Source organism: Homo sapiens, chromosome 19 (assembly GCF_000001405.40).
Source record: "Homo sapiens chromosome 19, GRCh38.p14 Primary Assembly".
NCBI lineage: Eukaryota > Metazoa > Chordata > Mammalia > Primates > Hominidae > Homo > Homo sapiens.
The window spans coordinates 42885288-42900436 of NC_000019.10; positions in this window are offsets into that span (position 1 = coordinate 42885288).

Below are 15149 nucleotides of genomic sequence, written 5' to 3' on the forward strand. Positions count from 1 at the left end.
TCACCCTGGAATCTTATGCAGAGTGACAGGGGAGTGGGGATGAGCTCCGTTCAGGTTCAGGAAGCGAGAGTTTGGATCTGAAGTACTTTTCAGATGCTGAAGTCATAGGAGCTTGCAGTTGCTTCCTGGGTGGAGCCATAAACAAACATCTCTTCTGCTGAGTGGGGTCTGAGAAGATAGAGGGAACGGTGACCCAGGAGCTCTGGAATTATCTGGCTGTGTTACACTTGCAGGACTACACATATTTAAGTGAAAACAACATGGTTTTCATCCACCTGGCTGACCTCTTAGCCTGCTTTCCTCTTATTGTTCCCTCGAAGGCATCATTTTTTGAAAGAGAAATTTAAACTCTGTCCATCTCATCCCCTTTGGACAAAAGTTGAGTCCTTTCTGAGCTCTTTCATCATCTGGAGTTTAAAAGCTTCCCCTCCTCTGTTAACTCTCTTTGAATCCCTCATGTCACACCAAACTTCAAAAGAGACAAATACTTTTGCATGACTCCCTGCAGGCTCCGTTTTGCCCTGTAGTGACAGCCCCATGTCTTGGCTTTCCTGATTGGAAAAACTTCTCAAGCTTTCTGCATTCATGATCTCTGCTTCTTCAGTGCAACCTTCTCCAGCTTGTCTCTGATCTCCAATGGTCCCTGCATTAATCCTGTCCAAGCCACAGGTGACCCTCATATCATCTCAGCTTCTACTTCCCAGTCTCTCTCTCTCTCTCTTTTTTTTTTGAGACAGGGGTCTCACTCTGTTGCCCAGGTTGGTCTCAAACTGTTGAGCTCTAAAGATCCTCTGGCCTCATCTTCCTGAGTAGCTGGTAGGGGTGTGAGCCCTTCTGCTTGGTCTCCAGTCCTTTGCTTTTCTTTTTTGACCTATACAACATTTGGTGGTTGATGTCCATGTTCATGTAATTGTCTTCTCTGGCTTCTTGGGGCCACCATGCATTCCCTTCTCCCTCTTTTCATTTATTATCTTTTCATCTAGTAAGACCCATCTTCCCCTGAATATGTATATTTTCCTCAAAGCAAGGATTGGCTTACCTTCACAAACTGAGTCTCCAATGACCACATAAACTGAAATGCAATAGAAATCATGGACAGATGTGAGCTCCTCTTCTACTTCCTGTGTCCTCTGCAGGTTCTTCTCACCAACGTCACGTATTGTTAAGTAAGCCAGTGATGTTAAGTTAGAAAGTGGACTGATTCCATTAATTCATTTGGCATGTTCCGAAGTCCTCACCTGAGATCTATCTACTCTCCAAATTACACTTGTTAGTAATACAGGAAGATCTTTTTCACATGAGCTAATTAGGGTGAATACATGTAAGTGTTGGTAAGAAGTACTAGAAACACTGGAATTTGTGAGATTTCATTGAAGAACCAACTTCCACCCAGCCCTTCACATTGTTCTCTTTTGGTAGTTTCTTGTCATTTCCTCCTTTTATTATCAATAGAGCTGCTGTGAACATGCATGTACAAGTTTCTGGGTGGACATATGTTTTCATTTTTTGGGGGGTAGACATCAAAGAGTAGAATTGCTGGGTTGTATGATGAATCTGTGTTCCAACTTTTCAGAAACTGGACTTCTACTCCTTCCTGATTTCACCTTCCACGCCATTTCTGTAGTGAGGCCCACTCCTTGGCCTTATAAGACCTGAATTAAGTTAGGTGCCCAGAGCCGTTCTGTCATTGACTCTGTTCTTTCCCTTGCTAGCCTGTGTAATAATTGGCAATCAGACCTTTACGTGCGCAATGGTTTCATATGTCTCCCCAACTATATTACAAGTTCCACGGGGGCAGGGCTATGTCTATCTCCTTGACCTCTGTATCTGCGATGCCTAGCAGAGGGCTGTGAACACCGGTCACCCTCCATAAACACTGGGAGACAAACAAGGGAGTCAGTAGAGTTAGTTTTTTTGCCTTTTTACCCCCAGAACTCTTAGAATATGATTTGAGCTATTGCTTCAAGGAAGTCCTGGGGCAGATGATCATTCATAGATGACATGAGGGAGTGCACAGCACATGAGTTTGCAGGAAAATGCAAACCCCACATTGAAATTTGATCCCCAATGTTGGAGATGGGGATCTACATGGGGGTGTTTGGGTCATGGGGGCGGATCCCTCATGAATGGCTTGGTGCTGCCCTCATGGTAATGAGTGGGTTTTCTACTCAATCCTGCAAGAGCTGATTGTTAGAAAGAGCCTGGCACCTTCCTCTCCTCTTTCTCTTGCTTCTTCTCTCACCATGTCATCTGTGCACACAGCAGCTCCCCTTCCCATTCCACCATGAGTGGAAGCTCCCTGAGGCCTCACCAGAAGCAGATGCTGGTGCAATGCTTCTTGTATAGCCTGTAGAACTGTGAGCCAAATAAACCTCTTTTCTTTATAAATTATCCAGCTTCACTCAGGTATTCCTTTTTAGCAACACAAAACTGACTAAGACAGGGTATCAGGAGACCTAGCTTTGCCTGAATCTGAGAACTCCATCAGGAATCTTGGAACAATTTAGCCCACAGGTCCAAGGCTGATTTTTTGTCACAGTGAAGTTCAGGTAGTAAGAATTCTCACTGGTGGCTGTTGACGGTGGCGGTGGTGGGGATGGGTCATATGGAGAATTAGCAGTGGGAGACTAGAAATTAAAGTGGATAAAGGGAAGAATTAAAAGTCAAAAACAGTGTGAGGGAGGAAAGGAATGGATATAACACCTCACAGCTTTATCCTTGAGAGGCCTTAAAGAATCTACTTAATAATAATCAGATGGTATTCTATAAGAACTTTGAGACTAGACATGTGATGACTTTTAGGAAACTGCCCTGGAGCTGAAAATGCATGCAAATCTAGCTGACTCAGCTCCAGCCTTAACTGGCTCATAACTTGTTTCATAAACATGACTGTATGTTAGCAAGGAAATGAGAGAGAATAACAGCACATCACATAGGCATGAAAAGTATTTGCAAAGCAGCAGTTCTCAACAATGACATTTTGCAGAGTTTTCCAGAAGCAGATTCAGAAAACTGAAGACCAAAGTAATGAGGGAGCTGTCTCATGCCTAGATGAGCAGAAGCATACCAAAGGCTTAGTATTTCCCCAAGTAATAGGCACCTGAAACTTATTTAAGGAAAATACTCTTCTTGATGAAACAGGCACTGCAGTTGAAGCAGGAATGTGTTTGGTGTGCTGCCTTAAATAGCATGGGTAGATGTTCAAACATGTTAGGACTCGCTGGCCCTAGGAAAGACCCGCAAGTATCTGGTCTACACCAGGAAAGTGACAATGAAACACCAAACACCTTTTCTCCTCTAATTACCAAGAAAAGTATTTCTTTCCCAATGGTGGAAGACAATAATGTTGGGAATGATGAAGTTTTCTGGAGTGTGAAGTGGATATGTCTTATAAGTTTAATCCACAGCTTCACCACTTCATAAGTGGATAATCGAATTGTGCCTCAGTTTCCTCAGACTTGGGGATATTAAGAGTATCCTCAGTCACCACAAGGTGGGTACCAACATAAGAAAAGAGTGTAGCAAAAGCCCATGGGTGCATGTTCTTAAAGTGCCTAGTGTGGGATTAGAATGACAAGTGGTAGATGACCTACTTGTGCAGAAATTTAGAGTTATTTTGTGATTTTCAAATGATCATGTGTGCTTTCCATATGCTGTCCAGACTGGGGGTGCTGCAGCTAGAAAGGGAAGAAGGTTTCCATATTTCCTGAGACTGGAGTCACATCCTCTCACCAATGCACTCACCTGCTGACTAACCAGTGTACTTCTGGGAATTGCAAATGCATGAAATGGCACCCATTCTAGACTAGTCACGGCAGTGTTGGTGATGGCCACAGATCGGGAACGACCCTGACGTTTATCCATAGGGAACTGGGTCATGAGCCATGATCCACATCATGGATACTGGGCAGCTGTGGCAAAGAATGAGGTATCTTTCTTCTGTGTACTGGGAAAGGTTTCCAAGATATACCGCACAGTGAGAAAAACAAGAAGCAGAACAATGCACGGTGTGCTACCTCTTACATTACATAGGAGGAAATGTAAAATTAATTTACCAATGGCCAATAAGCACATGAAAAGATGCTCAACATCACTAATCATTTGGAAAATAAAAATCACGGCTACAGTGAGATACCATCTTACATCCATTATGATGATTGTTCTTAAAAAAAAGAAAAACAGAAAAGAACAAGTGTTGGCAGGTAGGAATTGGAATGCTTGTGTAGTGTTTGTGGGTATGAAATATGGCGCACCCACTGTCATCGTTTCTCAAAAAATTAATCATAGACTTACCACAAGATGCAGCAATTCGGCTTCTGGTGTATTCCAAAAAGAACGGAAAGCAGGGGCCCCAGCAGATATTTGCATGTCTTTGTTCATAGCAGCATTATTCACAATAGCTAGATGTTGGAAATAAGCCCAGTGTCCATCCATCCATGAATGAATAAACAGAATGTGGTCTATACGTACAAATGAATGGGATTAAACCATAACAAGAAGGGTGGTTCTGATGCGTGCTTCAACATGAATAAGCCTTGAGTTCTTTCTGCTAAGTGAAATAATCAGACTCAAAAAGACAAACATTGCATGATTCCACTTAACAGAAGTGCCTGACGTCATGAAATGCATAGACAGAAAATGAAAAGGTGGTTGTCAGCGGCTGGAGGGAGGGGGAAAGAGGAGTTGTTGTTTAATTGGTAAAGAATTCCAGTTGGGGAATATGAAAAAGTTCTGGGTGGGGATGGACAGTGGTGGTGGTTGAACAACAACGTAAATGTACTTCCTGCCACTGGATGTACAGTTAAAAGTGGTTAAAATGGGCCGGGCAAGGTGGCTCACGTCTAATCCCAGCACTTTGGGAGATTGAGACAGGCGGATCACTTTAGATTAGGAGTTTGAGACCAGCCTGGGCAATATGGTGAAACCCCATCTCTACTAAAAATACAAAAATTACCCAGGCATGGTGACAGGCGCCTGTAATCCCAGCTACTTGGGAGGGTGAGGCAGGAGAATCGCTTGAACCCAGGAGGCGGAGGTTGCAGTGAGCCAAGACGGCGCCACTGCACTCCATCCTGGACGACAGAGGGAATCTCCATCTCAACCAAAAAAAAAAAAAAAAGAAATTAACGAACGAAGAGCATCTATGTTCCAAATGCAGTGTATTATTTTATGCAGGCTTTCACAAGCTCCAAAAGATTCACCGTGCAGAACTGGAGATTCTAGAGAAAGACCACGCCTCCTCCTGCGGGTAACTCTTCATTCAGCAAGCAGCTCTTGGCTTATCCCTGGGCTTAGTGGAATTCGAATACCTGACCATAGGACACCAAGGGCTTTGGGACCTGAATGACACATCATGTGGTGGTGACATCTGAGTTACCTGGGGCGTGCACAGCAGCCTCCAGCATCCCAGGGAGAGCTGTGTATGGGGTCAGGCTCAAGCAGGTCTCAGGGCACCAGTGACCCAATGGGTGACTCAGACTCCCATGGCACCTGCTCCTTCTGTTTCTCCCTTCGCCATATATATGAGCTCATGGGAAACGCTGTGACCTCTTACAGAGGAGGAAAGTTCATGGACTTCTAGCTTCTAGAACTGTGATACAATAAACTCCTGTTGCTTATCTACTCCTCTGCAGTATTTTGTCATGGCAGCCCTAGCAAACTACTATAGTGACTGTGGGGGTTAGGATGACACCAAGCATCAAATGCCACTCCCTGTTCCAACAGTGAGACCATTCCACAGCCCCTGAATGACAAGACAGGCCTTCAAACTCAAGACTACCTGGCTAGGTAAGAAGTACTTTAGTCACACCACTTCTGAACTTTCTTGCCTACCTGCAGGGCAGGAATTTTTACCATTTTTAAATGAGGACACTGAAGCTCAGAGAAGTGATGCTATTTCCTGATGGGTAAGAGGTGATATATTTCAGTCCTCAGACCAACTCTGGAGTAGCAAGGTTCTAGTCTTAAGAGTCAAACTTGGCTAGGCATGGTGGCTCAAGCCTGTAATCCCAGCATTTTGGGAGGCCAAGGCCGGTGGATCACCTGAGGTCAGGAGTTCGAGACCAGCCTGGCCAACATGGTGAAACCTCGTCTCTACTAAAAATACAAAAATTAGCTGGGCGTGGTGGCATGTGCCTGTAATCCCAGCTACTTGGGAGGCTGAGGCAGGAGAATCGCTTGAACCCGGGAGGCAGAAGTTGCAGTGAGCTGAGATTGTGCCATTGCACTCTAGCTTGGGGAACAAGAGTGAGACATCAGCTCAAAAAAAAAAAAAAAAAAAAAAGTCAACCTTGAGCCAGGCATGGTGGCTCATGCCTGTAATCTCAGCACTTTGGGAAGCCGATGAAGTCAGGATTTCGAGAGCAGCTTGGGCAACATGCTAATACGCTGTCTCTACCAAAAATTAAAAAATTAGTGGGTATGGTGGCTCATGCCTGTAATCCCAGCTATTTGGGAGGCTGAGGCACAAGGATAGCATGAACCCTGGAGGTGGAGCTGCAGTGAGCCAAGATTGTGCCATTGTACTCCAGTCTGGAGTGCAAAAAAAAAAAGTCCATCTCAAAAAAAACACAAAAAGAATAAATATGGGGCCTCATGACTGTATATTACTGGGCTTCCGACCTAGACTGAAAGATCAGGGAAGACTTTCCTGAAGAGAAAGTGAGCTCTGATGGGCCCACTGTACTCTAGCCTGGGCAATGTAATGAGGCTCTGTCTCAAGAAAAACATGCAGAATAAAACCACAATAAGATACCACTACAGAACTATTAGAATGGCTAAGATTAAAAAGAGTGACCATGACAAGTGTTGGCAAGGATGTGGAGGCACTGGAATGCTCACGCTACTGGTGGGAATGTAAGATGGTACAACCACTATGAAAGCAGTCTGGCAGCTTCTAAAAATTTCAGCATACACCCACTATACTACTCGGCAATTCCATTCCATTCCCACATTATTTTTATTTAAAGGAAAATCAAGTGGTATGATCTTTAAGGCATTTTTGCCTGACAAATAGATGAAATGTGGGTAGCAGCCCAACACTCCCTGGTAAGTCTTCACAGGGCATATGTGGACTCGTGGCCCCCAGGAAATATGGCTCTTTCCACAAGTGCTAAGTCCACTCTCTCCATCAATCCTAAGATGTTAGTTCCACAGCACTGCCAGCATTGGGCTTTGTCTATTTCTTTCTTTCTTTGTCTTTTTTGAGAGGGGTCTTGCTCTGTCATCCAGGCTGAAGTGCAGTGATGCAATGTTGGTTGTAATGGCTCCCATTTCATTTCCAATTGATCTTATTTGGCTCTTCCCTCTTTTTTTCTTGGTTAATCTTGCCAATGGTCTATCAATTTTATTTATTTTTCCCAAAAATCAGCTTTACATTTTATTTATATTTTGTATTATTTTGTTTCAATTTCATTTAGTTCTACTCTGATGTTGGTTATTTTCTTTCTTCTGCTGGATTTGGGTTTGGTGTGTTCTTGTTTCTTGAGTTTCTAGAAGTGTAACCTTAGATTGTCTATTTGTGCTCTTTCAGTCTTTTTGATGTAGGCATTTAAGGCTATAAACTTTTAGCACACTCTTTGCTGTATTCCAGATGTTTTGATAGGGTGCGTCACTATTGTTCAGTTTGAAGAATTTTTAAATTTCCATCTTGATTTCATATTTGACCCAATGATCATTCAGGAGCAAGTTATTTAATTTCCATGTGTTTGCATGGTTTTGAAAGTTCCTTTTGGAGTTGATTTCCAGTTTATTCTACCATTGTCTGAGAGAGTACTTCATATAATTTCAATTTTCTTAAATTTATTGAGACTTGTTTTGTGGCCTATCATATGGCCTATCTTGAAGAAAGTTCCATGTGCTGATGAATAGAATGTATATTTTGTGGTTGTTGGGTAGAATATTCTGTAAATATCTCTTAAGTCTATTTGCTCTAGGGCATAGTTTAAATCCATTGTTTCTTCCTTGACTTTCTGTCTTGATGACCCGTCTAGTGCTGTCAGTGGAGTAATGAAGTCCCTCACAATTATTGTGTTACTGTCTATCTCATTTCTTAGGTCTAGTAGTAATGGCTATATAAATTTGGGAGCTCCAGTGTTAGGTGCATGTTTATTTAGGACTGTGATATTTTCCTGTTGGACAAGTCCTTTTATTATTATATAATGTTCCTCTTTGTCTTTTTTAAGTGCTGTTGCTTTAAAGTTAGTTTTTTTGTTATAAGAATAGTTACTCCTGCTCACTTTTGTGGCCATTTGCATGGGGCGTCTTTTTCTACCCTTTTACCTTAAGTTTATGTGACACTTTATGGTTAGGGGAGTCTCTTGAGGGCAGCAGATACTTGCTTGGTGAATTATTATCAATTCTGCAATTCTGTATCTTTTAAGTGGAGCATTTAGACCACTTATATTCAATGTTAGTATTGAGATTTGAGGTACTGTTCCATTCATCCTGCTATTTGTTGCCTGAATACCTTGGTTTTATTCATTTATTTATTGTATTTTTGTTTTATAGGTCCTGTGAGATTCACGCTCAAAGAGGTTCTGTTCTGATGTGTTTCCAGGATTTGTTTCAAGATTTGGAGCTCCTTTTAGCAGTTATTGTAGTGCTGGCTTGGTAGTGGCAAATTCTCTGAGCATTTGTTTGTCTGAAAAAGACTGTTATCTTTCCTTTATTTATGAACTTTAGTTTTGCTGGATACAAAATTCTTGGCTGATAATTTTTTTTTTCTTTTTCTGAGATGGAGTCTTTCCCTGTTGCCCAGGCTGGAGTGCAGTGGTGTGATCTCGGCTCACTGCAACCTCCGCCTCCTGGATTCACGCCATTCTCCTGCCTCAGCCTCCTGAGTAGCTGGGATTACAGGCGCCTGCCACCAGGCCTGGCTAATTTTTTTTGTATTTTTAGTAGAGACGGGGTTTCACCATGTTAGCCAGGATGGTCTCGATCTCCTGACCTTGTGATCTGCCCGCGTCGGCCTCCCAAAGTGCTGGGACTACGGGCGTGAGCCACCGCGGCCGGCCTGATAAATTTTTTTAAGGAGGCTGCAGATGGGTATGCATGCTCATTGGAGGTGTTCTTCCCTTATTGAAGATTATTAAAATCACATGTGTTGAAAAGCATTTGGGACTGTTTACTTAATTGATGAGTACTCATTTATTTTTACATTAATTTTGATACCATGTATAAACAATATATAAACATAGGTATGGACATATACATATGTGATAGGCGATACAGCATAGAACATATACATGTGCACATAAAGATAGAGTGCGACAGAAATACTTCAGATTTTTGATTTTAAAACTTTATGCATGAACCTATAAAACTCCCTGTTAAAAAAAAAAAACTGGATTTAAATTGTGCTATTGTAAATATAAAAATTAACATTTATCTGAGGAAGCCCTTGCTGAGTTTTAGAGAGAGTAGGTAGTAAATTTACATCTCAAAGCACACACACACACACACACACACACACACACACACACACACAGAAGAATTTGGGTGTGTTCAAGGAAGATTAAAAGTAGATGCCAAGGTAACACAAAAATGATAGAAATTTATAACAGGATTTTATAAGGAGACCAATTTTATTTCCATACATAGCTTTTATTTTGGTCTCTGTTTTCCAACTGTACTCCAGGAAACACACTACACAGGCTCCCTTCTTAAGTGCTGGTGAGCCACTGCATATACAGACAGCCCACTTTAAGGGAAGAATCAGGGGAGAAGAGATGCAGACCCCAGAATTATGCCAACATACAAATGCCTAAGTCAAAGGTCAAACTGCACACTTGAAATCTCATCACCTGTTTGGCCCTGTTTTCAGTGTACTTTACTTTCTTTAATTTCTGCTCTAAAGCTTTTAAATGAACTTTCACTCTTGCTCTAAAATTTGCCTAAGTCTCTTCTTCTGCCTTATGACACTTAGTTTAATTCTTTCTTCTGAAGAAGCAAGAATTGAGGCTGCTGCAGACTTGTACAGATTTGCTGCCATTAATATACTTTAGTGCCATTCTACATGATAGAATATACATATTCTTATATTTATACATATATATAAAATATATGTATTCATAGAGGCCTTGAATCTACATTCTTGCTGCACTTCATGTAAACAATCCAGGTAGAAGACTAAAAGTTATTTTGGAAATACATTTGTCCCATATGATTTCTATTTCATAAAAATGGGAGACAGGAGGGGGAAAATTATTTTTAGAAAAAAACAACAGAACAACAGTTATTAAATTTTAGATCTGTTCATTTTTTTTTTTGAATTTTGTTATTTACCTACAATTTGGGCTGAATCCTAAATTTTTTCCTGGCTACAAATTTCAAAACTAATGGTTTCAGAATTTTCTTCCATTTTGGTATATTATAAATTAAAACTGTGCTTTTTAAATTTTTATCATTTTTTTATTACGCTTTTAAGTTCTGGGATACATGCACAGAACCTGCAGGTTTGTTACATAGGTATACATGTGTCATGGTGTTTTGCTGCACCCATTAACCCATCATCTACCTTAGGTATTTCTCCTAATGCTATCCCTCCCCTAGTCCCCCACCCCTCAACAGGCCCCAGTGTGTGATGTTCCCCTCCCTGTGTCCATGTGTTCTCATTGTTCAACTCCCACTTATAAGTAAGAACATGCAGTGTTTGGTTTTCTGTTCCTGTGTTAGTTTGCTGAGAATGGTCATTTCCAGTTTCATCCATGTCCCTGCAAAGGACATGAACTCATCCTTTTTTATGGCTGCATTGAATTCCATGGTGTATATGTACCATATTTTCTTTATCCAGTCTATCATTGATAGGCATTTGGGTTGGTTCCAAGTCTTTGCTATTGTGAATAGTGCTGCAATAAACATATGTGTGCATGTGTCTTTACAGTAGAATGATCTATAATCTTTGGGTATATACCCAGTAATGGGATCACTGGGTCAAATGATATTTCTTGTTCTACATCCTTGAGGAATCGCCACACTGTCTTTCACAATGGTTGAACTAATTTACATTCCTACCAACAGTGTAAAAGCGTTCCTATTTCTCCACATCCTCTCCAGCATCTGTTGTTTCCTGACCTTTTAATGGTCACCATTCTAACTAGCATGAGACAGTATCTCATTGTGGTTTTGATTTGCATTTCTCTAATGACCAGTGATGATGAGCTTTTTTTTGTATGTTTGTTGGTCACAAAAATGTCCTATTTTGAGAAGTGTCTGTTCATGTGCTTCTCCCACTTTTTGATGGGCTTTTTTTTTTCTTGTAAATTTGTTTAAGTTTCTTGTAGATTTTGGATATTAGCCTTTTGTCAGATGGATAGGTTAAACCTTGCAAGCTGAAACTCGATGACTTATGTAAACTTCTGGAGAAATCATAGCAACTTATATATAAACAACCTTTGTGCCTGCTGATGTGTACTATACAAAAGGTACACATGAACGCTGGATTCAGACTGCAATTCAGAAAAATGTGTCAGATTGCCATTGCAATTAGAAGATGCTTCAGAAACTCTAGAAAACCTAGTCTATAGGGTTAGAGTGATGTTTGCCAAACGAATTGCTCTAATTGAAGCAGCAGTTGTGTGACTTTAATAAAGTTCCAGGATTATACTGTCCCTTTGTTGCTGTGACTTCCCTTTGCCTTTTTCTGATTTGTCTTCATCCCCTTTTCCACGGGGCATGACTTCTTAAGAATGAGCCTTCCTAGTGATGTAGGATCAGATGAAACATACAGTCACAAAGTCATGTCTTCTACAATGCTTTCTCTGAAAGCTTTTGAAGAATCGAGGGACCAGGTGTGCTGACACAGACCTGTAATCCCAGCAGTTTGAGAGTCCAAGGCAGGAGGATCACTTGAAACCAGGAGTTTAAGACCAGCCTGAGCAACAAAGGGAGACCATGTCTCTACCAAACATAAAATAAATCAAATTAGCCAGGTGCAGTGATGCATGCCTACAGTCTCAGATACTTGGGAGGCTAAGGCGGGAGGACCACTTCAGCCCAGGAGTTCAAGGCTGTAGTGAGTACACTCCAGTCTTGGTGACAGAGCAAGGTTGTGTCTCTAAAAGAAAAAAAAAAAGGAAAGGAAAAGAATGGGGTAAGCAGGAAAGCCAAAGATCTCGGGCATCTCCAGATGATTCCCTGAACAAATTGTTTTTTCTTGGCTTCAAAACCTTTCAAGATGTATATTTCTTTGTAAAAGAAAGACATGCCAATTGTAACTTTAAGTGAGCAGTCAAAATCTAGCTCCTAAAACTGAAGTATTTTAACTCTCATTCTGATAATATTTATTTTCTGAGGCAAAGAAGAAAGACAAGATTAGATGAATTGTTTTTCTGCCCACACCATCTCTTCCGACATGCCTTATCCCTTTAATCAAATGTATAAATACTAAGCCTCCTGAAACCTCTTCAGAGAAAACACAAGCCACAGAGGTTTTTTTGCAACTCATGTATTCCCAGGGTGTACTTTCAAGTTCTGGCTCAATAAATCTCAATTTATCAAGACCCTTGCCTCAGTCAGTCATTCTGGATAACCACCATGAGTCCTGCAAAGCCCTTCAGTAATCTGTTGCCTGCCTAGGTGATGTGTAAGGTGAGTCAGGTCTTCATGAGTCAAACACTCGTCTTCCTTTCTGTCTTTCCCAACCCTACCACTCAGTGCTGTGTGCTCTGATCTGACCCCAGCTCCCAGGTTGTTTGTATTGGTCTAAGAAAGCAAGACCAGGAGGGGCAGGTTGAGAAGGAAGTAAGAAGTGAACATGGAAAGTGGCAGGTGGGGCTGTCATTGCTCAAAGCCACACACCCTGGGTGCATTTTATGAATTTTTCTGGATTCATAATCTTTTCCCTGTGTGTCTATCTAGAAACTCACCCCCCTCCTACTTTCTTCTCATTACTCTTTCTGTTTCTAGTGCACTCGTTTATGGCCAGAGAATGGCCGTGTAAATAGTTGACAATAGAATAAAAAATGATGTTTTCTGAGACTTGGAAGCTGGCCTTTCTTTTTTCCAAAAGAGATTGGGGTTTCTAAAAGCTAGCTTTTATGCAGGGCTGTGCAGTTGTGAGTGTAGTTTTAGGGAACAGATGCATAAGTGAAGGGTGAGACAGAAAACAAAATGCTGGCTGTTTGTCAAATCCTGAAAGTAAATGGGACAAAAATCATTTTTGAAGGAGGATGTCATTCAGGAGACCTTGTACATCTTAGCGTGTCCTCTTACCAGAAGAATTGGAGGTTGAGGTTGAATTATGGATTTAAGTGACAGTGGGTATATAATTCTCTGCCTCAGTTTTTTTTTTTAATCTGTAAAAATGGGGATTGTGGCTCTTGGGATTTTTTGGTGAGCACTATAGTTACCTGAAAAGCTCTTAGGATAGTGCCTGGTGCATAGTGAGTGCTGCATCAGTGTGAGCTATTATAATTATGGGAATATACAAAGGTATCACCCTGGCCATCCAGAGTGGGGAGATATTTTCTGGTCAGGGTCCAGGCAGGCCAGCTGGAGATGAAGCTGATTAGTAGGGAAGCTTAACTTCCAGGAGTGGAAGAATTTAGGAGGAGTAAACAGAATGCACAACATTCTGCAAACATTCCTTTACCCAACAGTAGGAATACTCAGAGTGGGTGTGTCTTCCGTGACAATCATTATCTCCTGGGAATCTAAGAATGTGTTCTAGAGTCAAATGGCTTTGATGTAAGCCAAACCCAGAAATGGGCTTCAGGGCTGCCTTGCACATAGCATTCATTCATCTTGAAAAAGGAAAGCATTCATCTTGCTAAAGGAATCCCCTCTTCTGGCCCAGGCCATTATTTTTGTTTTTGTGCTATCCTAATTTTTAAGGTGTAAGCAGAAAGACTGAAGAATAAAATAATGAAGTACATGAATGAAATAACAGGGTAGAATTGAGACTGCTACATGTAAGTTAAGAGAAATTGTGTATAAATTTTTGTGAACAGAAAAAGGATTTCTTGTTGCAAACAGACCTCTCTATATAAATAATACCTCCTGCCTTGAGTGGATAGCAGACCGCATCACAAGAACATTCCAGCAGAGTCATGAGAGAATGGTTAGTGTGGCTTCTTTAATTGTCAGGTTAGACTGAGTAAGTTACTGAAGAGAAAGGAGTTGAAGGAGAAGATGGGTGAGGGCAAGAAAAATGGGAAGGTGAAAGGAAAGGACTGAAAGGAATGTTTACCAAGGGCTCATCAGGTACCAGGCTCTGTGACTAATGTCTTACACATGTTAATTTACTCTTCCACTGTCATTTTCTGATGCAGTAAGAGTCAGCCTTACACTGCAGATGAGGAAAGAGGCTGAGGGAAGTCAAATGAGTGGCCCAGGGTCATCCAGCCACTTCATAGCAGAGCTAGTGTGTTTCACTGTGGTTTGTGCAGACAGAAAAGTGAGACATGGAAGGAAGGCAAAACATTTTTGTTGTGGGTGATGTTTATGAAAGTGACCCGTATGAGGCAGAATAATGGCCTCTTAAAAATGTCCACATCCGGGCCGGGTGCAGGGGCTCACGCCTGTCATCCCACCACTTTGGGAGGCTGATACGGGTGGATCACGAGGTCAGGAGTTCAAGACCAGCCTGGCCAACGAGGTGAAACCCCGTTTCTACTAAAAATGCAAAAATTAGCTGGGCGTGGTGGCGGGCAACTTTAATGCCAGCTACTTGGGAGGCTGAGGCAGGAGAATCATATGAACCTGGGAGGCGGAGATTGCAGTGAGCCTAGATTGTCCCACTGCACTCCAGCCGGGGCAACATGAGTGAAACTGTCTCAAAAAAAAAAAAAATCCACATCCTAACTCTTGGAACACATGCATTTACTTTTCTTGGCAAAAACACTGTTCAAAGGTGATGAGGTTGAGTATCTTGAGATGGAAAGCTTATTCTGGCTTATCTGGATGGCTCCCAGTGTCATCATAGGGGTCCTTGTAAGTGAAAGAGCAAGGCAGGAGGGTCAGGGTGAGAATGATGCAGTCTGAGAGACTCCACTGGCCATTGCTTGCTGTGAACATGTGTGATAAGACAAAATTACAACTGATTTAGTTATAGATGTAATTGGTTTTTATTTGTGATTTATGATTTGGGGCAGCTCTCCCTCTACAGATGCCTCAGCATCCCAAGTAGCTGGGACTATATTGTGGGATCT